Raw genomic sequence first — 27,396 nt, forward strand, 5'->3', positions numbered from 1 at the left:
TATTCAGCTTCAGTTTCTCACAGAGGTTCACATAAGTGAAGATGGTTAAGACCATGTGAGCGAATGAAGTTCATTATTGACTAATGGTTGTAGAGTCAAATAATTTTTGTAGAGTACTTGTTGATGAATAATACCATAGGTTTTAAACATCTTGCATTTTTGTAAGCTTTGTAAATTTGCCAAACTGAACCTTTTTCTGCTCCATGTATAGTATCACCACCATTAGTTGTAACACATCTTAGCAGATACCACTTCAGGTTACAATGAATTAGTGTCTCAACTTGTTCAGTCACTTTGGACTTGCAAGTGACTTTTTGAGTATAACTGAACAGTATCAGTAATATCTGTTGATGTAAAAGAGAACCATTTGAATTATTTTGCCTTTTTATAAAATATACAATACATTGGTTTTTAGTATATTCAGAAGGTTGTGCAACCATCATCATCTAATTTCAGGACATTTTCATCTCCCAGGAAAGAAACTCTGTGCCCAATAGCAATCAATTCTTATTCCCTTCTCCAGAAAATAGATTAGTGAATCCATTTTCTGTGTCCATGTATTTGCCTATACTGGACATTTCATATAAATGGAATCATATAATATATACTCTTTTGTGTATGGCTTCTTTTACTTAGCATAGGATTTCAAGGTGCATCTGTGTTATAGCATGTATCAGTATTTTATTCTTTTTCTAGACTAATAATATTCCACTGTATAGATAAGAATTCTGCTGAGGGGCAGAAGTAGGTTTAAGGCTGAGGGAGAGACCAAGGCAAGTTTTAGAACGGTAGTGAGAGTTTATTAAAAAGTTTTAGAGCACAAGTGAAAGGAAGCACAGTATACTTGGAAGAGGGCCAAGTGAGATCCAAATGCCCCATTCAGCCCTGGACTTGAGGTTTTATTTGCTGGCATGGTTCTGGGGTTTCTGTTTCCCCTCCCTTGATTTTTTACCTTGGGGTGGGCTGTCTGCATGTGCAGTGGCCTGCCAGCACTTGGGAGGGCCACATGCACAGTGTGTTTATGGAAGTTGTACACATGCTAATTTGGGGACGTTTTTCCCTTACCAATAGAGTGTTTCCAGAGGATGGTCATATACTGGTTAAACTCTGCCATTTTGCCTCATAATGTGCATGCTTGAGTCTGCTCGCCCAATTCCTGCGATCTTATTGGGAAGCTGCTGATTACCATCTCCAGGTGTTTTCTATGGTTGCCTGACATTCTGGGAGCGGGGAGCGGGGGCATGTAGGGGGGTTCTCCTGCCCTGCTTGTCTGTCTACCTACTCTAACAGATATATCACATTTTGTTTATCAAAACATACATTTTTTTTGTTTTGATTAGTTCAAAACACACACTGTTTTGAACATGTGTGTACAGGTTTTTATGAGAGCATATGTTTTTAGTTCTCTTCAGCATATACCTAGGAGTGGAAATGCTAGATCATATAGTAATTATATGCTTAACTTTTTGAGTAACCAAGCTATTTTTCACAGGAGCTGCACCATTTTGCATTTTCACCAATAATGCATCCTCTCTTACACTTTTGTTGTCAGTCTTTTTGATTCTAGCACATGCAGACTGGTATCTTGTGGTTTTGATTAGCATTTCACCAATTACTAATGATGTGGAGCATTTTTTCATGTGCCTGTTGGCCATTTGTATATCTTCTTTGGGAGAAATATCTATTCACATCCTTTCCCTATTTAAAAATTGTGTTATCTTTTTTCTTTTTTGAGACAGGATCTCAGTCTGTCACCCAGGCTGGATCATGGCTCACTGCAGCCTCACTCTCCCAGGCTCAAGCAGTCCTCCCGTCTCAGCCTTCCAAGTAACTGGGACTGCAGGTACACCTCACCACACCTGGCTAATTTTTCATAGAGACAGGGTTTTGCCATATTGCTCAGGCTGATCTTGAACTCCTGGGCTCAAGCAATCCATCTGCCTTGGCTTCACAAAGTGTTGGAATTACAGGCGTGAGCCACTGTGCCCAGTCAGATTGTCGTCTTTTTTTTTTTTTTTTTTTTTTTCTGAGACTGAGTTTTGCTGTCTCACCCAGGCTGGAGTGCAATGGTGTGATCTCGGCTCACTGCAGCTTCCGCCTCCTGGGTTCAAGCGATTTCTCCTGCCTCAGCCTCCTAAGTAGCTGGGATTACAGGCGCGCATCACCATGCCTGGCTAATTTTTGTATTTTTAGTAGAGGCAGGATTTCACCATGTTGGCCCGGCTGGTCTTGAACTCCTGGTCTCAAGTGATCCACCTGCCTGGGCCTCCCAAAGTGCTGCGATTACAGGCGTGAGCCACTGCGCCTGGCTCAGATTGTCTTTTTATTGTTGTGTTGTAAAAGTTCTTTATATAGTCTAGATACAAGTCCCTTGTAAGATATGTGATATATAGATATTTTCTCCATTTTGTAGGTTGTCTTTTTACTTTCTTGGTGGTCTTTGTAGTGCAAAAGTTTTAAATTTTGATGAAATTTAATTTTCTTTTTTATTGCTTATGTTCTTGGTTTCACATCTAAGAAACAGTTGACAAATTCAAGGCCATAAAGATTTACTCCTGTTTAAGAATTCTGTAGTTTAGCTCTTACATTTAGGTTTAAACTTTTTTGAGATAATTTTTGTTTATGATGTGAAGTAAGAATCCAAGTTCATACTTTGCCTGTGGATATCTATTGAAAAGATGATTCTTTCTCCTGTTGAATTGTCTTGGCACCTTTATTGAAAATTAATTGGATGGCTGGGCACGGTGGCTCACGCCTGTAATCCCAGCACTTTGGGAGGCTGAGGCGGGCAGATCACGAGGTCAGGAAATTGAGACCATCCTGGCTAACACGGTGAAACCCCGTCTCTACTAAAAAATACAAAAAAAATTAGCCGGGAGTGGCAGTGTGTGTGTGTAGTCCCAGCTACTCGGGAGGCTGAGGCAGGAGAATGGCATGAACCCGGGAGGTGGAGCTTGCAGTGAGCCGAGATCGCGCCACTGCACTCCAGTCTGGGCGACAGAGCGAGACTCTGTCTCAAAAAAAAAAAAAAAAAAAGAAAAAAAAAAAGAAAATTAATTGGACATAAATTTGAAGGTTATCCCCCCCGCCCCAGAGTCTTAGTTCTTTTCCTTTGACATAATTCTATCCTTATGCCACTACCACACTATCTTCACAATTGTAATTTTATAGTAAGTTTTGAAATTGAGAAGTGTGGATCCTTTATATTTTGTCCTCATTTTCAAGATTGTTTTGGATATTCTGGATCTCTGTATCTCTGTTTTTTTATTGTGCTTATATATTACGACAGTAAAAAAAAGATATATAATTAAATTTATAGTTTTAACCATTTGTAAGTGTACAGTTCTGTCTATGGCCATACCACCCTGAACGCGCCGATCTCGTCTGAAAGTGTACAGTTCTGCAGCATCAAGTACATACATACTGTTGTTAAATAACCATCTCCACCATCTATATCTAGAACTTTTTCATCTTCCTCAGCTTGAACTCTGTACCCATTAAAGACTGACTCTTCATTCCACACTTTCCCAGCCCCCGGCAACCAAAATTCTACTTTTTTCTTTATGAATTTGAGCACTCCGGGAACAATGTATTACAGATACTCCTTCTCTTTTGATGAGGGTACATCCAAAAGCTTATTGTAAGATTGAAAAATCATGAATTGAACCATCATAAGTTGAGGATCATCTATAGTGGAATCATATAAAATTTTCCTTTTGTGACTAGCTTATTTTACTTAGTGTAGTACTTTCAAGGTTTATCCATGTTGTAGCATGTCAAGATTTTGTTACTTTGTAAGGCTGAATAATATTCCATTGTAGGCACGTACCATATTTTATCTGTTCATCTATCAGTGGACACTTGGATTACTTTCACCTTTTCACTATTGTATATAATCGTGCTAGAACACGGGTATACAAATATCTGTCCTTGTCCCCTGCCTTTGGATATATACGCAGAAGTGGAATGGCTGGATCATATAATTCTGTTTAATATCAAATTAAAATTAAATTTGTTAAATGAAATTAGATATTTAATTAACTAAATTAAGTATTTAATTTAAATTCTTTTTAAATTAAAATAATTATATTTGATTATTCTGTTTAATTTTTTTAGGAATTGCTATACTGTTTTCCACAGCGGCTGCACCATTTTACATCCCCACCAGCAATGCAAAAAGGTTCTAATTTCTCCACACCTTTAATATTTGTTCTTTTTTATTTTTTCGTAATAGCCATCCAAATGGGTATGAAGTGGCATCTCATTGTGCTTTGATTTGCATTTCCCTAATGATTAGGGATGTTGAACATCTTTTTATGTGCCTGTTGAGCATCTGTGTATCTTCTTTGCAAAAATGCCTACTCAAGTCTTTTGCCTATTTTAAGAATCAATTTGGGTTGGGTGTTTTGGCCCACACCTGTAATCCCAGCACTTTGGGAAGCCAAGGCAGGAGGACTGCTTGAGCCCAGGAGTTCAATACCAGCCTGGGTGACAAGTAAGACCCCGTCTCTAAAAAAAAAAAAAAAAAAAATGGAAAAAATTAGCTGGGCATGGTGGCACGTGCCTGTAGTTCCAACTACAGGAAGGCTTGGGAGGCTGAGGTGGGAGTATTGCCTGAGCCCAGGAGTTCAAGGCTACAATAAGCTGTAATCATGCCACTGCACTCCAGCCTGGGTGACCGAGTGAGATATTATTAAAAAAAAAAAAAAAAATCTGTTTGTTTGTTGCTGATCTGTAGGAGTTCTTTATCCTGTCAGTTAATTCCTTATCAGATATATGATTTAAAAATATTTTTTCCCATTCTGTGGATTGTTGTTGATGTAGCCTTTGATGCATACAAGTTTTAAATTTTGATGAAGGCGGACTCTTTTTTTTTTTTCCTGTACTTTTGGTCATGAAGAAATCATTTCCAAACCCAGTGTCATGAAGCTTTTCCCTTATGTTTTCTTCTAAGAGTTTTACAGTTATAGCTTTTACTTTTAAGTCTTTGAGCCATTTTTAGTTCATTTTTGTATATGCTGTGAGATAAGGGTCCATCCAACTTTATTCTTTTGCATGTGGTATCCAGTTTTCCACCACCTCTGGTTGAAAAGACAGTCAGTTCTTTGTTGAATGATCCTGGCACTCTTGTCAAAAATCAAGTGATCATTTATGTGAGGGTTTGTTTCTAAGATCACAACTGATTTTTATATGCAGATGGTTCTTGACTTAGGATGGTTTGTCTTATGGTTTTTGGACTTTACTATGGTGCAAAAGTGATGTGAATTGAGTAGAAATCATACCTTGAGTATTAATACTACCGTTCTGTTTTTCACTTTCAGTATAATATTCACTAAATTATATGAGGCATTGAACATCTTATAAAATAGGCTTTGTGTTAGATGATTTTGTGCAGCTGTAGGCTAATTGAAGTGTTTTGAGCATGTTTAAAATAGGCTAGGTTAAATTATGATGTTTGATGGGTTAGATATTTTAAATGAATTTTCAATTAAAGATATTTTTAACTTACGATGGATTTATCAGAATGTAACCACGTTGTTAGTCGAGGAGCATCTGTACAGATTGTGTATCCTGCAATCTTGCTGAACTAGTTTGCTACCTCTAATAGTTTAATGTGGATTCTTTTTTTTTTTTTCTTTTGAGATGGAGTCTTGCTCTGTCTCTCAGGCGGAGTGCAATGGCGTGATCTCGGCTCACTGCAAGCTCCGCCTCCTGGGTTCACGCCATTCTCCTGCCTCAGCCTCCTGAGTAGCTGGGACTACAGGCGCCTGCCACCACGCCTGGCTAATTTTTTGTATTTTTAGTAGAAACGGGGTTTTACCGTGTTAGCCAGGATGGTCTCGATTCCTGACCTCGTGATCTGCCTGCCTTGGCTTCCCAAAGTGCTGGGATTACAGGCGTGAGCCACCGCACCTGGATGGATTCTTTATTAAAAAAAAAATACACATAAGATCCTGTCTTCTTTATTTTTTTATTTTTATATCATTTTTTAAAAATTTAGCTTTTACTTTTATTATTTTTTAAAATAAACAAAGCTGCAATGTTTTCCTCTAAATTCCTTAGCATAATAAATAAAATTCCCTTTTGCAACACACATGGTACGTCATTTTATATTTCCTTAATAGTCTCATGAATATCTTTTCTCATTGAGATTCCACCTGTGTCCAGTAGAAGGAAAACTTAGCTGAAAGGAACATGAAATAGGCTGAAAAACAAAATTTCTAAATTGCTAGTAGCCTTAGAACACCTTAACACAATTTCGGAGATTCAGCTGCTTTGAAAGTGGGCTGCAGTCTGTGTGAGGGCAGTGCTACTTGAGGTTGATTCAGAATGTAGTCTTTAGGGCCCCAAGCTTAAAATGTGGGCCTAGATTCCACCTTTGGTGTCTTTATCCCTGGGAAGCCGTCAAAAGTGCTGGCCAGGTCCTCAGCAGCTAATTTCCCCAAGGGAAAAATTACCCTCTCAGTTGGATTCACTTTTCTGCACTTTAATCTTCTTTTGGATCTTCACCTGATAATTTTTCACCATTTTTCTGAGCTTTTTGGTGTCGTTAGGCTAATGGCTTTGATAAAATGTCCGTTCCCATCCCATTACTGGGTATATACCCACAGGATTATAAATCATGCTGCTATAAAGACACATGCACATGTATGTTTATTGTGGCACTATTCACAATAGCAAAGACTTGGAACCAACCAAATGTCCACAATGATAGACTGGATTAAGAAAATGTGGCACATATACAACACGGAATACTATGCTGCCATAAGAAAGGATGAGTTCATGTCCTTTGTAGGGACATGGATGAAGCTGGAAACCATCATTCTCAGCAAACTATCGCAAGGACAGAAAACCAAACACCGCATGTTCTCACTCATAGGTGGGAATTGAACAATGAGAACACTTGGACACAGGAAGGGGAACATCACACACCGGGGCCTGTTGTGGGGTGGGGGCAGCGGGGAGGGATAGCATTAGGAGATATACCTAATGTAAATGACAAGTTAATGGGTGCGGCATACCAACATGGCACATGTATATATATGTCACAAACCTGCATGTTGTGCATAAGTACCCTAGAACTTAAAGTATAAAAAAAGAAAAAAAAAAGAATAGATAACCTTAAGGTAGGGAGGCTTTTTAAATTGGAAAGAAGCCCCAGCTAGAGGCTCAAAGACAATAAATAAAAAACCACAGAAGTCAGTAAAATTAGGTATATAATGTTAAAACTAACATTATTCACATTATGGTATGTAAATGACATTATATAATACTTAGTTTTGGTCATCAATATGGTGGTCATTGTGCACGTCTGAAATTAAGAGAGATAGGAAATATATAAAGAGTTGAGAAATGGGGATGAATTCTACTTCTGGTAAGGTAGGGCTGTATACTTTTAACCAATATTCCTACTAAAGATCTTGTCATCTTTAAATGGAAGTAGTTTTGTACCCTACTTTCTGATCCTGATCTTATAAAGCATTCAGTTTTTCTTTAGTAAGTGTGATGTTACCTGTGGGTTGAGGAAGTTATATTGTAGTCCTAATATTCTGAGGTTTTTTTTTTAATCATGAAAGGGCGTTAGATTTTGTCAAATGTTATTTCTGCATCCAGAATAAATCCCGCTTCATCATGTGTAATCATCTTTATGTGTTATGGATTTTTTTCCTTGTGATATGTTTGTTTGGTTTTGGCATGAGAGTAAGTAATAATTGCCTTGGGAGTTGTTCCTTCCTTTTTTTATTTTTTTAAAAGTTTTTTTTGAAGGATTAGTGTTCTTTTTTAAGCATTTAGTAAAGTTCACCAGGACAGATGCCCTTTGAATTACAGTGGGGTTATATCCTAATAAGTTCATCATAAGTGGAAAATATTGTAAGTTGAAAATCCATTAAAAAATACCCTGATAAGCCCATTGTAAAGTCAAAAAGTTGTAAGTTCAGATGCTTTTCAACTTACAGTGGGGTTATATCTCAATAAACCATTGTAAAGTTGAAAATTATATTTCTAACCATTGTTAAGTCAGGGACCATCTGTCTGGTCTTGGACCTGTGAGAGGCATTGTGATTACTGCCTCAATCTCTTTTCATATTAGAGAGCAATTCAGATTTTTCTATTTCTTCTTTTTTATTTTTATTTTTGAGATGGAGTCTCGCTCTGTTGCCCAGGCTGGAGTGCAGTGGTGAGATACACGGCTCCCTGCAACTTCTGCTTCCCGGGTTCAAGTGGTTTCTACTGCCTCAGCCTCCTGAGTAGCTGGGATTGCAGGTGCGCACCACCACACCTGGCTAACTTCTGTATTTTTAGTAGAGATGGGGTTTTGCCACATTGGCCAGGCTGGTCTCAAACTCCTGACCTCAGGTGATCCACCTGCTGCGGCCCCCCAAAGTGCTGGGATTACAGGTGTGAGCCACTGCACCTGGCCTCTATTTCTTCTTGAGTCAGTTTTGATCATATGTTTCATTTTAGAAATTTGTCCATTTACTCTAGCTTATGAAAAATTTTGGCATACAATTGTTCAAAGTATTTCTTTTTAATATTTTTTATTTTTTTAACGTTGGTAGTAATAGCTTCACTTTCATTCCTGATATTAGTAATTTAAGTCTTCTCTCTGTTTTTCTTGGTCAATCTGGTTAAATGATTAATCAATTCTATTGATATTTTCAAAGAACTAACATTTGGTTTCATCGATTTCTTTGCTCAGTTTTCAAATTGACTATGGATATTGGTCTATATGTATACAACTCTTAGAGCACTTTTTCTCACCAAAATGCTAATGGTCTTGAACAAGTTTATATTCTCAGGACATATTTCTTTGTTTGCTGTGATCAAACACTATTTAATTAATTCACTATTTGTAGGTGGCTTTCCTCGTACGACTAGCTAATGACCTACTCAGAAATTTACTTTCGTTGGTTTTATTTTCATTTCTATTTTTGTGTAGTTCTGTGATGAGATGTTGTATTACATTTTTTTTTCTTGATGGATGGTTTCCTGTGAATTGGGAATACTGTGCTGAGTGCTTAGTCTGTATGCTAACATGTATTCTTTTAGCACAGATTTCATATTATTGCATAATAAACAGAAATAAATACTACAGAAGCTGTATACAATTGGCCCTTCATACCCGTGGGTTCTGCATCTGTGGATTCAACCAACAGCAGATCAAAAATAGAAAAAAACCTAACAATACCATGATAAAAAATACAAAATTATTATAGGCATACAGAATTTATACTGTATTAGGCATTATAACTAATCTAGAGATGGTTTAAAGTATACAAGAGTATGTTTATAGGTTATTTACAGATACTACACCATTTTATATCAGGGACTTGAGCATCCATGGATTTTGGTATTTAGGAATTCTTGGAAACCATCCTGTATGAACACTGAGAGATGACTGTGTGGAATTATGCTGTAAATACTGTTTATAACCCTTTCTACTTAACATAGTGTGAAAAAATTGAATTTCATAAATATCTACAAAATTTAAGAATTAGCAGCTCAGTATGATGACACATACCTGTAGTTCCAGCTGCTTGGGTGAGGGGGTGAGGCAGGAGGATCACTTGAGCCAAGGAGTTTGAGACCAGCCTGGGGAACATGACGAGACCCCATCTCTTAAAAATTTTTTAAATGTTAAAAGAGTTAGTGTATCTTCTTCCTAATATGTTGTTTTTCAAGTCTTCAGTTTTATTTTGCCACGGATAAATCCTTCATTATATATAGTTAACAATGAGTAATGTTAAAGGGCATATTTGTTTTGTTTTGTTTTGTTTTTAGTAGTGGTGGGATTTCAGTATGTTGGCCAGGCTGATCTCAAAATCCTGACCTCAAGTGATCCACCTGCTTTGGCCTCCCAAAGTGCTGGGATTATGGGCTTATTTGTTTTGAAGCTGCCACTTTCTTAGGTTTTTTTTTTTTTTTTTTTTTTTTTTTGAGACAGAGTCTCGCTTTGTCGCCCAGGCTGGAGTGCAGTGGCGCAATCTCGGCTCACTGTAACCTCTGCCTCCCAGGTTCAAGTGATTCTCCTGCCTCAGCCTCCCGAATAGCTGGGATTACAGGCACGTGCCACCATTCCTGGCTAATTTTTTTGAATTTTTAGTAGAGATAGGGTTTTACCATGTTGGCCAGGCTGGTTTCAAACTCCTGACCTCAAGTAATCTGCCCATCTCGGCCTCTCAAAGTGCTGGGATTACAGGCATGAGCCTCCACGTCCAGCCTTTCTTAGAATTTATAAAGTATCTGACAGACACAGTAGGGAACAGAGCCAAACAGTCTATTAACTTGTAGATTTATTCTTCATGATATTCCTGCAAATAAAGTATAGGCCTGAAAATGGATCCATGATTTTAGGGAGAAAGCTCTACTCTCTTTCAGGCTGCCTGCTTTTCTAGCAGGTATAATTTATTTATTTTTCTTTCCTCCTGTTTTTATATTAATTAAAAAAATTAATTTTTAAAGTTTTATTTTTAATGGACACATAATTATGCATGTTTATAGGGTACAGTGTGATGTTTTGATACATGTACACATTGTGTAATGATCAAATCAGGGCAGTTAGGTTTTCCATCACCTCAAGCACTTGTCATTTCTTCCTGGTGAGAACATTCAAAATCCTCTCTTCTAGCTATTTTGAAATATACAATACATTATTGTTAACTGTAGTCACCTTACTATGAAATAGAACACCAGAATGTATTCCTCCTATCTAACTGCAACTTTGTTTGACCAAACCTCTAACCATTCCCCATCCCTTAACCACCCCCAGCCCCTGCCCCTGTCTCTGGTAACCGCGGTCCTATTCTCTACATCTGTGGGATCAACTTTTTAAAACTCCACATGAGTGAAATAATAAGGTATTTGTCCTTCTGTGCCTTGGCTTATTTCACTTAATGTCTTCTAGGTTCATCCATCTTGTCGCAAGTGACAGGATTTCATTCTGTTTTTATGGCTGAATAGTATTCTTTTTTTAAATATGCTTTAAGTTCTAGGGTACATGTGCACAACGTGTAGGTTTGTTACATATGTATACATGTGCCATGTTGGTGTGCTGCACCCATTAACTTGTCATTTACATTAGGCATATCTCCTAATGCTATCCCTCCCCCCTCCCCCCACCCCACAACAGGCCCCGGTGTGTGATGTTCCCCTTCCTATGTCCAAGTGTTCTCATTGTTCAATACCCACCTATGAGTGAGAACATGTGGTGTTTGGTTTTTTGTCCTTGTGATAGTTTGCTGAGAATCTTGGTTTCCAGCTTCATCCATGTCCCTACAAAGGACATGAACTCATCCTTTTTTATGGCTGCATAGTATTCCATGGTGTATATGTGCCACATTTTCTTAATTCAGTCTATCATTGATGGACATTTTGGTTGGTTCCAAGTCTTAGCTATTGTGAATAGTGCCGCAATAAACATATGTGTGCATGTGTCTTTATAGCAGCATGATTTATAATCCTTTGGGCATATACCCAGTAATGGGATGGCTGGGTCAAATGGTATTTCTAGTTCTAGATCCTTGAGGAATTGCCACACTATCTTCCACAATGGTTGAACCAGTTTACAGTCCCACCAACAGCGTAAAAATGTTCCTATTTCTCCACATCCTCTCCAGCACCTGTTGTTTCTTGACTTTTTAATGATTGCCATTCTAACTGGTATGAGATGGTATCTCATTGTGGTTTTGATTTGCATTTCTCTTATGACCAGTGATGAAGAGCATTTTTTCATGTGTCTGTTGGCTGCATACATGTCTTCTTTTGAGAAGTGTCTGTTCATATCCTTTGCCCACTTTTGGATGGGGTTTTTTTTTGTTGTAAATTTGTTTGAGTTCTTTGTAGATTCTGGATATTAGCCCTTTGTCAGATGGGTAGATTGCGAAAATATTCTCCCATTCTGTAGGTTGCCTGTTCGCTCTGATGGTAGTTTCTTTTGCTGTGCAGAAGCTCTTTAGTTTAATTAGATCCCATTTGTCTATTTTGGCTTTTGTGGCCATTGCTTTTGGTGTTTTAGACTTGAAGTGCTTGCCCATGCCTATGTCCTGAATGGTATTGCCTAGGTTTTCTTCTAGGGTTTTTATGGTTTTAGGTCTAACATTTAAGTCTTTAATCCATCTTGAATTAATTTTTGTATAAGTTGTAAGGAAGGGCTCCAGTTTCAGCTTTCTACATATGGCTAGCCAGTTTTCTGAGCACCATTTATTAAATAGGGCATCCTTTCCCCATTGCTTGTTTTTGTTAGGTTTCTCAAAGATCAGATGGTTATAGATGTGTGGTATTATTTCTGAGGGCTCTATTCTGTTCCATTGGTCTATATCTCTGTTTTGGTACCAGTAGCATGCTGTTTTGGTTACTGTAGCCTTGTAGTATAGTTTGAGGTCAGGTAGCATGATGCTTCCAGCTTTGTTCTTGTGGCTTAGGATTGTCTTGGCAATGCGGGCCCGTTTTTGGTTCCATATGAACTTTAAAGTAGTTTTTTCCAATTCTGTGAAGAAAGTCATTGGTAGCTTGATGGGGATGGCATTGAATCTATAAATTACCTTGGGCAATATGGCCATTTTCATGATATAGATTCTTCCTATCCATGAGCATGGAATGTTCTTCCATTTGTTTGTGTCCTCTTTTATTTCGTTGAGCTGTGGTTTGTAGTTCTCCTTGAAGAGGTCCTTCACATCCCTTGTAAGTTGTATTCCTAGGTATTTTATTCTCTTTGAAGCAGTTGTGAATGGGAGTTCACTCATGATTTGGCTCTCTGTCCGTTATTGGTGTATAGGAATGCTTGTGATTTTTGCACATTGAGTTTATATCCTGAGACTTTGCTGAAGTTGCTAATCAGCTGGAGGAAATTTTGGGCTGAGATGATGGGGTTTTCTAAATATACAATCATGCCGTCTGCAAACAGGGACAATTTGACTTCCTCTTTTCCTAATTGAATACCCTTTATTTCTTTCTCCTGCCTGATTGCCCTGGCCAGAACTTCCAACACTGTGTTGAATAGGAGTGGTGAGAGAGGGCATCCCTGTCCTATGCCAGTTTTCAAAGGGAATGCTTCCATACTGAATGCCTATTCAGTATGATATTGGCTGTGGGTTTGTCATAAATAGCTCTTATTATTTTGAGATATGTCCCATCAATACCTAATCTATTGAGAGTTTTTAGCATGAAGGGCTATTGAATTTTGCCAAAGCCTGGCAGAGACACAACAAAAAAAGAGAATTTTAGACCAATATCCCTGATGAACATCGATGCAAAAATCCTCAATAAAATACTGGCAAACCGAATCCAGCAGCACATCAAAAAGCTTATCCACCATGATCAAGTGGGCTTCATCCCTGGGGTGCAAGGCTGGTTCAACATATGCAAATCAATAAACGTAATCCAGCATATAAACAGAGCCAAAGACAAAAACCACATGATTATCTCAATAGATGCAGAAAAGACTGAATAGTATTCTATTGTGTATATATACCACATTAAAAAATTCTTTCATCCATTAATGGACACTTATATTGATTCCATATCTTGGCTGTTGTGAATAGTGCTACATTAAACATGGGAGTGCAGATATCTCTGACATCCTGATTTAATTTCCTTTGGATATATATGCAGTAGTGGGATTGTAGAATCATATGGTATTTATATTTTTTAAGTTTTGGAAGAACCTCCATCCCGTTGTCCTGAATGGCTGTACTGATTTACGTTTCCACCAGCAGTGTATGAGAGTTTCCTTTCTCTTCACATTCTCAGGAACTTTTTTTTTGTCTTTTTGATAATTGCCATCCTAACTGGGATGAGGTAATAACTCATTGTGATTTTGATTTACATTTCTCTGATGATTAATGATGTTGAGCATTTTTTCATATACCTGTTCATCACATTTATGTCTTCTTTTGAGAAATCTTTATTAATTGGATTTTTTTTTTTTTTGCTACCGAGTTGAGTTCCTTATATTCTGGATATTAACATCCCTTGTCAGATGCATAGTTTGCAGATATTTTTTTCCCATTCTGTAGATTGTCTCTTCACTCTTCTTTACTGTGCAGAATCTTTTTAGTTTAATGTAATCCTTTTTTGTTAAACATTTCTGGTCTGTGCTTTTGCCAGACTGATGTTATGAATTGTTTCTCCTATGGTCTTTACTAGTAGCATTCAATAATATTCAATATCCCTTCATAATAAAAACTCTAAACATGTTAGATATATTAATGGAAGGAATGTACTTCAGCACAATAAAGTCCATATATGACAAACCCATAGCTAACATCATACTGAATGGGGAAAAGCTAAAAGCTTTTCCTTTACAATATGGACCTAGATGAAGATGCCCACTTTGACCACTCCTGTTCAACACAGTACTAGAAGTCTTGGTCGAGCATGGTGGTTCACACCTGTAATCCTAGCACTTTGGGAGGCTGAGGGTGGCAGATCACTTGAGGTCAGGAGTTCGAGACCAGCCTGGCCAACATGGTGAAACCCTGTCTCTACTAAAAATACAAAAATTAGCCGGGTGTGTGTGGTGGGCGCCTATAATCCCAGCTACTTGGGAGGCTGAGACAGGAGAATCGCTTGAACCTGGGAGGCAGAGGTGACAGTGAGCTGAGATTGTGCCATTGCAGTCCAGCCTGGGCGATAGAGCAAGACTCTGTCTCAAAAAAAAAAAAAAAAAAAAAGTTTTAGCCAGAGCAATTAGGCAAGAGAAAGAAATAAAGGGTGTCTAAATTGGGAAGGAGAAAGTCAAATTGTCCCTCTTTGCAGGTGGCATGATCTTATATATTGAAAACTACAGACTTCACCAAAAAACTATTAAAACTAAGAAATGAGAATTCAGTAAAGTTGCAGGCTACAAAATCAACATGCAAAGCCTTTCCTCTAAGATCTGGAACAGGACAAGGATGCCCACTTTCACCAGTTATTCAGCATAGTACTGGAAGTCCTAGATAGAGCAATCAGACAAGAGAAAGATATAAAGGGCATCCCTGTTGGAAAGGGAGAAGTCAAATTATCCATATTTGCAGATGATATTATCTTATATTTGGAAAAACCTGAAGACTCCAACAAAAAAACAATTAGAACTGATAAATTCGGTAAAGTTGCAGTATACAAAATCAACATACAAAAGTCAGTAGCATTTCTATATGCCAAGATTGAACAATCTTAGAAAGAAAAAAGTAATCTCAGTTACAATAGTTACACATAAAATTAAATAGTTAAGAATTAACCAAAAAAGTAAAAGATCTCCATAATGAAAACTATAAACACTGATGAAAGAAATTGAAGGGGACACAAAAAAAAAGAAAAAAAAAATCCGTGTTCATTGATTGGAACAATCAGTATTTTTTAAATGTGCATTCTACCCAAAGAAATCTACAGATTCAAGGCACTGCCCATCAAAACAGTGATGACATTCTTCACAAAAATAGAAAAAAAAATGTAAAATTTATACGGAACCAGGAAAGACCCAGAGTAGTCACAGCATTCCTAAGCAAAAAGAACAAAACTGGAGGAATCGCATTACCTGACTTCAGATTATGCTACATATAGACGCATAGACCAATGGAACAGAATAGAGAACCCAGAAACAAGGTTTGTCTAACCCTAACCCTAACCGTACCTTAACTGGCAGGTTAGGGTTAGAGTTAAGGTTAACACAGCTACAGCGAACTCATTTTCACCAAAGATGCCAAGAAATACACTATGGAAAAGACAGTCTCTTCAATAAATGGTGCTGGGGAAATTGGATATCCATATATAGATGAATGAAGCTAGACACCTATTTCTTGCCATATACAAAAATCAAATCAAAATGGATTACAACCTCAAACTATGAAGCTACTACAAGAAAACATTGGGGAAAATCTCCAGGATATTGGTCTGGGCAAAAATGTCTTGAGCAATACCTCAAAGCACAGGCAACCAAAGCACACATGGACAAATGGGATCACATCAAGTTAAAAAGCTTCTTCACAGCAAAGGAAACAGTCAATAAAATGAACAGACAACCCACAGAATGGGAGAAAATATTTGCAAACTACGCATCTGAGAAAGGATTAATGACCAGAATATATAAGGAGCTCAAACAACTCTATAGGAAAAAAATCCAATAATCTGATCAAAAAATGGGCAAAAGATTTGAGCAGACATTTCTCAAAAGTTATACAGATGGCAAGCAGGCATATGAAAAGGTGCTCAACATCATTGATCATCAGAGAAATACAAATGAGACCTACAATGAAATACCATCTCACCCAAGTTAAAATGACTTATATCCAAAAGACAGACAATAACAAGTGCTGGTGAGGATGTGGAGAAAAGGGAACCCTTGTATGCTGTTGGTGAGAATGTCAATTAGTACAACCACTATGGAGAACAGTTTGGAGGTTCCTCTGAAAACTAAAACTAGAGCTACTGGCCGGGTGTGGTGGCTCACACCTGTAATCCTAGCACTTTGGGAGGCCCAGGTGGGTGGATCACGAGGTCAGGAGATTGAGACCATCCTGGCTAACATGGTGAAACACCATCTCTACTAAAAATACAAAAAATTAGCTGGGTGTGGTGGCGGGCGCCTGTAGTCCCAGCTACTCGGGAGGCTGAGGCAGGAGAATGGCGTGAACCCGGGAGGCGGAGCTTGCACTGAGCTGAGATTGCGCCACTGCACTCCAGCCTGGGCGACAGAGCGAGACTCCATCTCAAAAACAAAAACAAAAACAAAACAAAAAACAAAACAAAATAAAACAAAAAAATCTAGAGCTACTGTGTGATTCAGCAGTCCCACTGCTGGGTATATACCCCAAAGAGAGGAAATCAATATATCGAAGAGATATCTGCACTCCCATGTTTGTTGCAGCACTGTTCACAATAGCCAAGATTTGGAAGCAATCTAAGCATCCATGAACAGATGAATGGATAAAGAAAATGTGGTACACATACACAACGGAGTACTATTCAATCATAAAGAAGAATGAGATCCTTTTATTTGCAACAACATGGGTGAAACTGAAGATCATTATATTAAGTGAAATAAACCAGGCACAGAAAAACAGACATCACATGTTATCACTTATTTGTGGGATCTAAACATCGAAACAACTGAATTATTAGAGACAGAGAGTAGAAGGATAGTTACTAGAGGGTGCGAAGGGTAGTGGGTGGCTGGGTGAGGGGAGGTGGAGATGGTTAATAGGTACAAAAAATAGTTACAAAGAATGAACAAGACCTACTGTTTGATAGCTCAACAGGGTGACTATGGTCAGTAACTTAATTTACATTTTAAAATTACTTAAAGAGTGTAATTGGTTTGTAACTCAAAGGATAAATGCTTGAGGGGATGGATACTTCATTCTTCATGATGCACTTATTTTCACATTGTATGCCTGTATCAAAACATCCCGTGTATACCATAAGCATTTACACCTACTGTGTATCCACAAAAATTAAAAATAAACATAAATTAACATATAAAATATGTAACATTTATATGTGCTACGATTATTCAATCTCAAAAAGAAATCAAGAAAACAATCTCATATACAATAGGTAAAACAAAAAATACCTAGGAATAAATTTAACCACAGAGGTGAAAGATTTCTACAATGATAAACTAATGTTATTAATGACAAAAACTGAAGAGGACACACATAAATGGAAAGATCTCATGCTCATGGATTTGAAGAATTAATATCATTAAAATGCCCATACTATTTCAAATGATATACAGATTCAGTGCAATCCCTGTCAAAGTACCAATGACATTCTTCACAGAAATAGAAAAAAAAAAATCCTAAAATTAGTATGGAACCACAAAAGACCCTAAATAGCTAAAGTAATGTTGAGCAAAAAGAAAACAGCTGGAGGCATCACACTAATTGTCTTCAAAATATACAATAAAGCAGTAGTATCCCAAACAGTGTGGTACTAGCATAAAAACAGACACACAGAACAATGGAACAGAATAGAGAACCTAAAATAAGTCCACAGTTACAGCCAACTTATTTTTGACAAAGGTGCCAACAATACTCATTGGGGAAAGAATGGTTTCTTCTATAAATTATGCTGGGAAAACTGGATATTCACATGCAGAAGAATTAAACTAGACTCCTATCTCTTACCATTTACAAGAATCAACTCACAATGGGCTAAACCCTTAAATGTAAGACCTGAAACTATAAAACTACTAGAGGAAAATGGGAAGCACTTCATGACATTGATCTATATTAATTTAAAAAAAATCATTTGAAAGCCAATGTAGAAGGAAGATAGTTATGGAAATGTAAAGTTTACATAGGTTCTGTGAATACACATGAAACACTCAATTTTAAACAATGAAGGCTGTTGTTAATTTACATGTTCTTGTTAATTAGTGATGTGGATTAAGAAGACAGGAGTGGTGGTGAGTGCTCCAGAGATTGAAATTTAATAGTAAGGGCCTCGATAAAGAGTTTGTTAACGAGTAAAAGAACTGCTGATGTTAATTTCTTAAGTGCTTATGCAATTCATTGTAGTTTTATTTATGAGCCAAGCTTAGAATACACCTTTGATCTTAGACAGCTATATCATTGTTAATTTGTGGCTACCTGCAATGACTTGAGACTACAGAACCTAATCCTTTCCCCTCTACCTTGGAGGGTTCAATGCAATAAATCCTAGGGTGGACCATTTATTTTTCACTTGGTAGTCAGAGTAAGACACCGATGAGTATCTGATGTTTCTTAACAATTCCCAAGCCTGTACAATATTAAGTGATAGAGCTTGGTAGAACTGCTTTTCAAAGTTTTAAAAAATTTGAAAAGTTTTTGTTCAGAATTTATCTTCCATTGAGGATTTAAAACATTTACAGATTTATAATGCTACAAGTACTTGCAAATATAGCCAAATATTCCCAGAGTATACAGATTACCAATAGCAGTTTGGATGTCTTCAGCAGAGATCAAATATAAATATATGCATATATACACATGCAAATAGACTCATGGTATATACATTTTTTCACAGCTTGTTTTCTTTACAACTGAGAGGCTTGATATCAGTATATATTCACCTCCTTCATCCTTTGCATTTTTATACACATTTCAGAATCAGTTTATTGATTTCTACAAAAAAGTTTATTAGAATTTTGATTGGGATTGCAGAGAATGTAATGATTAATTTAGGGAGAATATATATTTTTACACTATTGAGTTTTCTAATCCATTAATATGATATATGCTTATATTAGGCTTTTAATGTCTCTAATATTTTATAGCTTCTTGTGTAGAGTTCTTCTACATGTCTCATTAGATTTATTTCCAGTTACATGGCATTTTTTGATGTTGTTATAAATGGTGTATTTTCAAAACATTTAATTTTCTAATTGTTTATTGATATATAGACTTAAAAATATTCACCTTGTATCTAGTGACCTTGCTACAATCATGTATTTGTTGTAATAGTTTATGTCTATATTCTTTTGGATTTTTTTTACATACACAGTCAGACCTGCTGATAAAGACAATTTTATTTCCTCATTTCCAATTATTACACCTTTAATTGCCTTATTTGCATCGACTGGTCCTGCATACAGTGTTGAATAGAAATGGTGACAGTGGCCATCCTCTTCTTGTTCCTAACCTTAGTGATAAAATGTTTTGTATATCACCAGTGTGTGTGATGTTTCCTATAGACACATCATAGATGCCCTTTATCAGATTAAGGAAGTCCCCTTCTAGTCTTATTTTCTTAAGAATTTTTGTCATGAGTGGACTTTGAATTTTATCAATTTTTTCATATATAGAGGTGATCATATGATTTTTTTCCTTCATTAATTTTCTAATATTAAACCAATCTTGCATTCCTTGAATAATCCCCAGTTGGTCATGATGCATCATCCTTTTTATGCATAGTTGGATTTGATTTGCTTTGTATTTTTTTAAAAAATGTTTTTATTTATATTAATGAGAAAGATTAGCCGTAATTTTCCTTTAGTCTCATGTCCTCAGGCTTTGCTGTCATGCTGAGTTCAAAATGAATTCCCTCTTTGGAAGAGATTATTTATGATTGGTGTTATTTTTTTCAGATGTTTCGACAGATTCACTGATAAAGTCATCAGGACCTGGCATTTCATTTGTGGGAAGTTTTTAATTACAGATTAACTTTTCTTTAATAAATATAGGACTATTTAAATTTTTAACTTCTCTGCCAGTTTTTGTAGATTTTGCCTTTCTGTAAATTCGTCTCCCATGGAAAATTTCAAATTAGTTGGTATAAGTTTTTTTGTGTAATATCCTTTTATGATGATTTTAATGTTTTGATTGCTGATACTGATAATTTGTTTCTTTTCTTTTTTCCTAATTAGTTTTTCTAGATGTCTGTCAATGTTAGTGTTTTCAAAGAACCAATTTTTAGATTATAAGGCTTGATTTACGGTAGTGGAAGTTCTTCAAGATTGACAGGGCGTTTCTTCTTATTTTTTTCAATAGTTTTGAGAGTAGAGGTAGGTTTTGGTTTCATGGATGAGTTCTTTAGTGATGAAATGTGAGATTTTAGTGCACCTGTTACCCGAGCAGTGTACACTGTATCCAATATGTAGTCTTTTATTTCTCAACCCCTTCCACCCTCCCTCCAGCAAGTCCACAGAGTCTATTACTCTGTATGTCTTTGTGTCCTCATAGCGTAGCTCCCACTTATAGATGAGAACATATGGTATTTGCTTTCCCATTGAGTTTCTTCACTTAGAATAATGGCTTCCAGCTCCATCCAAGTTGCTGCAAAAGACATTATTTTGTTCCTTTTTATAGCTAAGTGGTATTCCATGGTGTATATTTACCACATTTTCTTTATCCACTTGTTGGTCAGTGCGCATTTAGGTTGGTTCTGTGTCTTTGCAATTGTGTGAATTGTGCTGCTATAAATATGCATGTGGATGTGTCTTTTTCATATAATGACTTCTTTTCCTTTGAGTGGATACCCAGTAGTGGGATTGCTGGATCGAATGGCAGATCTATTTTTAATTCTTTAAGGAATCTCCATACTGTTTTCTGTAACTGTTGTACTAATTTACACTCCCACCAGCAGTGTAAAAGTGTTCCTTTTTCACTACTTCCATGCCAACATCTATTGTTTTTTGATTTTTAAATTATGACCATTCTTGCAGAAGGTGGTGTCTTATTGTGGTTTTAATTTGCATTTCCCAGAGGATTAATGATATTGAGCATTTTTTTTCATGTGTTTGTTGGCTGTTTGTGTATCTTCTTTTGAGAATTGCCTATTCATGTCCTTTTTCCAGTTTTTTATGTGATTTTTTTTTTCTTGCTGATTTGAGTTCCTTGTAGATTCTGGATACTAGTTTTTTGTCAGCTGCATAGTTTGCAGATATTTTCTTTGTGGGTTGTCTGTTTACTCTGTTGATTATTTCTTTTGCTGTGCAGAAGCTTTTTAGTTTAATTAGGTTCCATTCATTTGTTTTTGTTTTTGTTGCATTTGCCTTTGGGTCTTACTCAGGGATTCTTTGCTTAAGCCAATGTTCAGGAGAGTTTTTTTCCATGTTATCTTGCAGAATTTTTATGGTTTCAAGTCTTGGATTTAAGTGTTTTATCCATCTTGAGTTGTTTTTTGTATAGTGATAGATGGGGACCCAGTTTCATTCTTCTACATGTGGCTTGTCAGTTTTCCCAGCACCATTTATTGAATAAGGTGTCTGTATTAATCCATTTTTATGCTGCTGATAAAGACATACCCAAGACTGGGCAATTTACAAAAGAAAGAGGTTTATTGGACTTACAGTTCCATGTGACTGGGAAGGCCTCACAATCATAGTGGAAGATAAAAGGCACTTCTCACATGGCAGCAGACAAGAGAAGAGAGAATGTGAGCCAAGCGAAACAGGTTTCCCCTTATCAAACCATCAGATCTCATGAGACTTTTTCAATACCATGAGAGCAGTGTGGGGAACACTGCCCCCATGATTCAGTTATCTCCCACCAGGTCCCTCCCACAACACGTGGGAATTATGGAAGTACAATTCAAGATGAGATCTGGGTGGGGACACAGAGCCAAACCATATCAGTGTTTTTTTTTCCCAGCTTATGTTTTTGTATGCTTTGTTGAATACCATTTGGCTTTATTTCTGGGTTCTGTATTTTTTTCCATTGGTCTAACTGCTTATTTTTATTCCAGTATCATGCTGTTTTGGTAACTATAGCCCTGTAGTATAATTCAAAGTCCCATAATGTGATACTTAATATTGCTTTGTCTGTTCAGGCTCTCTTTTGGTTCCATGTGAATTTTAGGATTGTTTTTTCTAGTTCTTGGGAAAAATGATGATGATATTTTGATGGGAATTGCATCGAATCTGTAGATTGCTTTTGGCAGTACAGTCATTTTTACAATATTGATTCTTGTTATCTGTGAGCATGGCATATGTTTCCATTTGTTTGTGTCATCTGTGACTTTTTTTTAGCAGTGCCTTGTAGTTTTTCTTGTAGAGATCTTTAATTTCCTTGGTTAAGTATATTCCTAGGTATTTTATTTTTATTTTTTGCAGCTGTTGTAAAAGGGATTGAGTTCTTGATTTGATTCTCAGCTTGATTTTTGGTGTATGGCAGTGCTACTGATTTGTGTACATTGATTTTGTTCCTGAGACCTTACTTTACTGAATTTGTTTGTTAGATCTAGGAATCTTTTGTATGACGGGTTTTCTAAGTATATGATTATATCATTGATGAATAGTGACAGTTTGTCATCTTCTTTTCCAATCTGGATGCCCTTTATTTCTTTCTCTTGCCTGATTGCTGGTTAGGACTTCTAGTACTATGTCAAAGAGAAGTGGTGAAAATGGGCATCCTTATCTTGTTCCAGTTCTCAGGGGGAATGCTTTCAACTTTTCCCCATTCAGTGTGATTTGACTGTGGGTTTGTCATATATAGCTTTTATTACTTTGAGGTAAGATGGGGCTTTTCTTTATTCTTTGTATTCTTATATGAATTTTGGAATCAGTTTGTCAATTTCCTTAAAAAAGTTACGGGATTTTGATTGTTATCTATAGATTTTTTCTGTTGTGCATATGCTTTCTATTTCATTAGTTTCTGTTCATTTTTATCATGAGAATTCTGCTTTTCAAAGCATAATCAAATTTATTTGATGATTCTTTTAAAAAATATCTATTTGTTTGCTTGTGGTAGATAAGAAGCTCCTAATATTATTTTTTTCTTAAGTAATTGATACAAACTTGCTCAAAAAGTACACTTGAACACAGGATATCCAAGGGACAGAGACTCTGTTAATAGAAATGTTTTTCTACAAGCACACATGCACCCACCACTCATGGATAGCAATTTTCCCACAATGTATTTTATTGTCCCAAACTGCTAATATTATTTTTCAAAATGTAGATTAAATGGAAAGGGGCTTACACTTTAGAAAGAGGAATTAGTAAAGAAGGGAAGGTATACATTTAAGAAAATTTAGTGCTTAATTCAGTGACTCTGACCATGTCTCAGTGTTTAAAAATGCTAATTGGTGTGTTTATCCTTGCTTTTCTAGTGATATGCAGCTTTCGAGGATCTGTCCCTCAAGGGTTGGTCTTAGAAATAGGAGAAACAGTCCAGATTCTTGAAAAATGTGAAGGTGAGTATGGACCTACAAAGCACATAAATTGTGATCATTTTTGGCAGTATTATATACATTTATTTTGTGCTAATAAGATTATAAGCAATAATTCTGGAGCCATAATTAGTCACATGATGAAATAGTGTTATATAAAATTCTTCCTGATCTGTGTTCAGCATAAAGGTATGAGCTTTTTTGATTCTAATATATTAGCAACAATTAGATAATTAATTTCTGGCTGTCAGAACACGTTTTTTACATATATTTATGGGGTACTTGAGATACTTTGGTACAGATATACAATGTGTAATAATCACATGGTACATGTAGTATCATCTCAAGCATTTACCTTTTTTTGTGTTGCAAAGGTTCCAATTGTACTCCCTCAGTTATTAAAAAATGTGCAATAAATTATTGCTGACTGTAGTCACCCTATTGTGCTATCAAATACTAGATCTTATTCATTGTATCTAACTATATTTTGTGCCCTCTTACTTATTTTTTATGAATAGGTAATCTACCCATGCTTAGCTGCCTTTGAATAGAACTACGTTATAGTCCATTTATTTGTATGTTTCCGTCTGATTGGCTGGGCATCTTTAGTCCTAATTAGAACAGGTCCTCAAATTTTTTTTAATTTTTGTTTATTTATTTTTTTTTGAGAGGGAGCCTTGCTCTTGTTGCCTAGGCTGGAGCGCAATGGTGCGATCTCAGCTCACTGCAACCTCTGCCTCCCAGGTTCAAGTAATTCCCCTGCCTCAGCCTCCCTAGTAGCTGGGATTACAGGCGTCCACCACCACGCCCAGCTAATTTTTGTAGTTTTAGTAGAGATAGGATTTCACCATGTTGGCCAGGCTGGTCTTGAACTCCTGACCTCAGCTGATCCGCCTACATCAACCTCCCAAAGTGCTGGGATTACAGGCGTGAGCCACTGCGCCTGGCCTAAATATGTTTAAATGTAGTTTGGCTTGACTACTGTCCTCTTCTGTGGCATATATGGGTATTTCTACTGTAACATTTACACATTCTTGAGATGGATCGTGTTCTTCAGAATCTGTAATTAATAAGATTTATGGGAAAAATAGGGAGAAATTACACAAAATCAGAGTATTAACAAAAGCAAAATTGATGCCATGGCAAATAACTTGGGCAGCCTGGACTAGCAGTTCAGTACGGCTACAAGCCATCTCAGATGGTATAATGAAGTAGAACTGTTGCAGTGTGGGTATAGAGCCAATGTATATGGGAGTGGAGCTCTAATCTAGTTGGGTTACTGTTAAGAGGGGTATGGGAGGACATGTAACCTACCATGATCCAGGAATCATATATATTTAGGAGTACACTTCTCTGGAAAGGGAGCTACACGTACCGTTTTAAATTTTCTTAAAAACAGAAGTATAAATTAGCACCCTTTTGTGATAACAACTCTAAGGGAACTAAGAATAGAAGGTAATTTTCTTTATCTAATAAATGATAGCTACTAAAATACCTGCAGCAAACATCACATTCGGTCATAAAATATTGAAAGAGTTTTCACTGAGATCTAAAAGTGAGACAAGAATACCTACTGTCTTACTCTGTTTATGTTTTGCTATAAAGGAGTACCTGAGGCTGTATAATTTATAAAGAAAAGGGATTTATTTGCCTCATGGTTCTGTAGGCTGTACAAGAAGCATGACACCAACTTCTGCTTCTGGTGAGGGCCTTAGGAAGCTTCCACTCATGGCAAAAGTCAAAGAGAAGCCTGTACGTGCAGAGATCACATGGCGAGAGAGAAAGCAAGAGTGAGGGGAGGTGCCAGGCTCTGTTTAAAATTTTTATTTTTTAATTGACAAATAATAGTTGTATTCATGGGTACATAGTGATGTTTTGGTGCATATAATATATAGTGATCAGATCAGGGTAACTAGAATATCCATTATCCCAAACATCATTTGTTTTGGTTGAGAAAGTTCAATATTTTCCTTCTAGCTTTTTGAAACTATATATTATTATTAATTATAGTCATCTTATGTGGGATAGAACATTAGAACTGATTCTTTTTATCTAGTTGTAATTTTGTATCCTTTGACAAATCTCTTCAAATCCTCCCTTCCCCTTCCCCTCCAGTATCCTTCATTCAGGTTTTTTTTGTTAGCTTCCATGTATGAATAAGAATATGAGGTGTTTAACTTTCTCTTTTTGGCTTATTTCACTTAACATAATGTCCTCTAGTTCCATTCACATTACCATGAATGGCAGGACTTCAGTATTTTTTATGGCAGAATAGTATTCCATTGTGTATATACAACATATTTTCTTAATCCATCTGTTATTGGACACTTAGGTTGATTCCATATCTTGGCTGTTGTGAATAGTGCTGCAATAAACATGGAAGTGCTGATGTCTCTTCAATATAATGACTTCTGTTCCATTGGATAAAATCCCAGTGGCTCCACAAAGAGATCTTGAGACCAAAAAATAAAAAATAAAAATAAAAAAAAAAAGAATCCCACTGGGGTGGGATTGCTAGATCATATAGTAGTTCTTTTTTTTTTTTTTTTTTGGAGACAGGGTCTCATTCTGTCAGCAGGCTGGAGTGCAGTGGTGCCATCACAGCTTACTGTAGCCTCGACCTCCTTGGGCTTAGGTGATCCCACCTCAGCCTCCTGAGTGGCTGGGACTACAGGTGCACAACATCATCAGGCCTGGCTAAGTTTTGTATTTTTTGGTAGAGATGGGGTTTTGCCATGTTGCCCAGGCAGGCTGGTCTTGAGCTCCTGGGCTCAAGTGATCTGCCCACCTCAGCCTTCCAAAATGCTGAAATTAGAGGCATGATCTAGCACACTCAGCTATATAGTAGTTCTATTTGTAGTATTTTTTTTAATTTGAAATATTTATTTATTTATTTTAAGTTTTGTTTTAGGTTCAGGGGTACGTGTACACATTTGTTATATTGGTAAACTCATGTCACAGGGGTTTGTTGTACAGATGATCTTGTCACCCAGGTATTAAGCCTAGTATCCATTAGTTATTTTTCCTGATCCTCTGCCTCTTCCTACCTTCCATTCTCTGGTAGGCCCCAGTGTCTGTTGTTGCCCTCTGTGTGTCCATGTATTCTCATCTTTTAGTTCCCGGTTGTAAGTGAGAATATGTGGTATTTGGTTTTCTGTTCCCATGTTAGTTTGCTAAGGATAATAGCCTCCAGCTCCATCTATGTTCCTGCAAAGGACAGGATCTTGTTCTTTTTTATGGCTGTATAGTATTCCATGGTGTATATGTTCCACATTTTCTGTAGTCTACAATTGATGGGCATTTAGATTGATTCCATGTCTTTGCTATTGTGAATAGTGCTGCAGTGAACATACACATGCATATGTCTTTATGATAGAATGATTTATATTCCTTCGGGTATATATGCAATATTGGGATTGATGGGTCGAATGGCAGTTCTGTTTTTAGGTCTTTAGGAATTGCCATACTGTTTTTCACAATGGTTGAACTAATTTACACTCCTGCCTACAGTGTTTAAGCATTCTTTTATCTCAGCAGTCTCACCAGTACCTGTTATTTTTTTTTTTTTTTTTTTGAGACGGAGTCTCGCTCTGTCGCCCAGGCTGGAGTGCAGTGGCGCGATCTCGGCTCACTGCAAGCTCCGCCTCCCGGGTTCACGCCATTCTCCTGCCTCAGCCTCCCGAGTAGCTGGGACTACAGGCGCCCGCTACCACGCCCGGCTAATTTTTTGTATTTTTAGTAGAGACGGGGTTTCACCTTGTTAGCCAGGATGGTCTCGATCTCCTGACCTCGTGATCCGCCCGCCTCGGCCTCCCAAAGTGC

At 36.9% G+C, this 27,396-nt stretch overlaps 1 protein-coding gene across 22 annotated transcripts in view; it reads left to right on the forward strand.

The window, feature by feature from the left end:
- DOCK3 (dedicator of cytokinesis 3) overlaps nucleotides 1-27,396 on the forward strand; it is a 709,272-nt gene that overhangs the window by 80,234 nt on the left and 601,642 nt on the right. For 21 of the 22 annotated variants that reach the window (XM_005264914.4, NM_004947.5, XM_006713010.4 and 18 more), the window contains exon 2: nucleotides 23,515-23,598. In XM_005264914.4, coding sequence (XP_005264971.1) covers nucleotides 23,515-23,598 — 84 coding nt within the window. Of the gene's footprint in view, nucleotides 1-23,514; nucleotides 23,599-27,396 lie in introns of those variants that run through there. The other variant, XM_047447605.1, reaches the window with a different exon arrangement.

Source organism: Homo sapiens, chromosome 3 (genome assembly GCF_000001405.40).
Source record: "Homo sapiens chromosome 3, GRCh38.p14 Primary Assembly".
In the NCBI taxonomy this organism is placed as follows: Eukaryota; Metazoa; Chordata; class Mammalia; order Primates; family Hominidae; genus Homo; species Homo sapiens.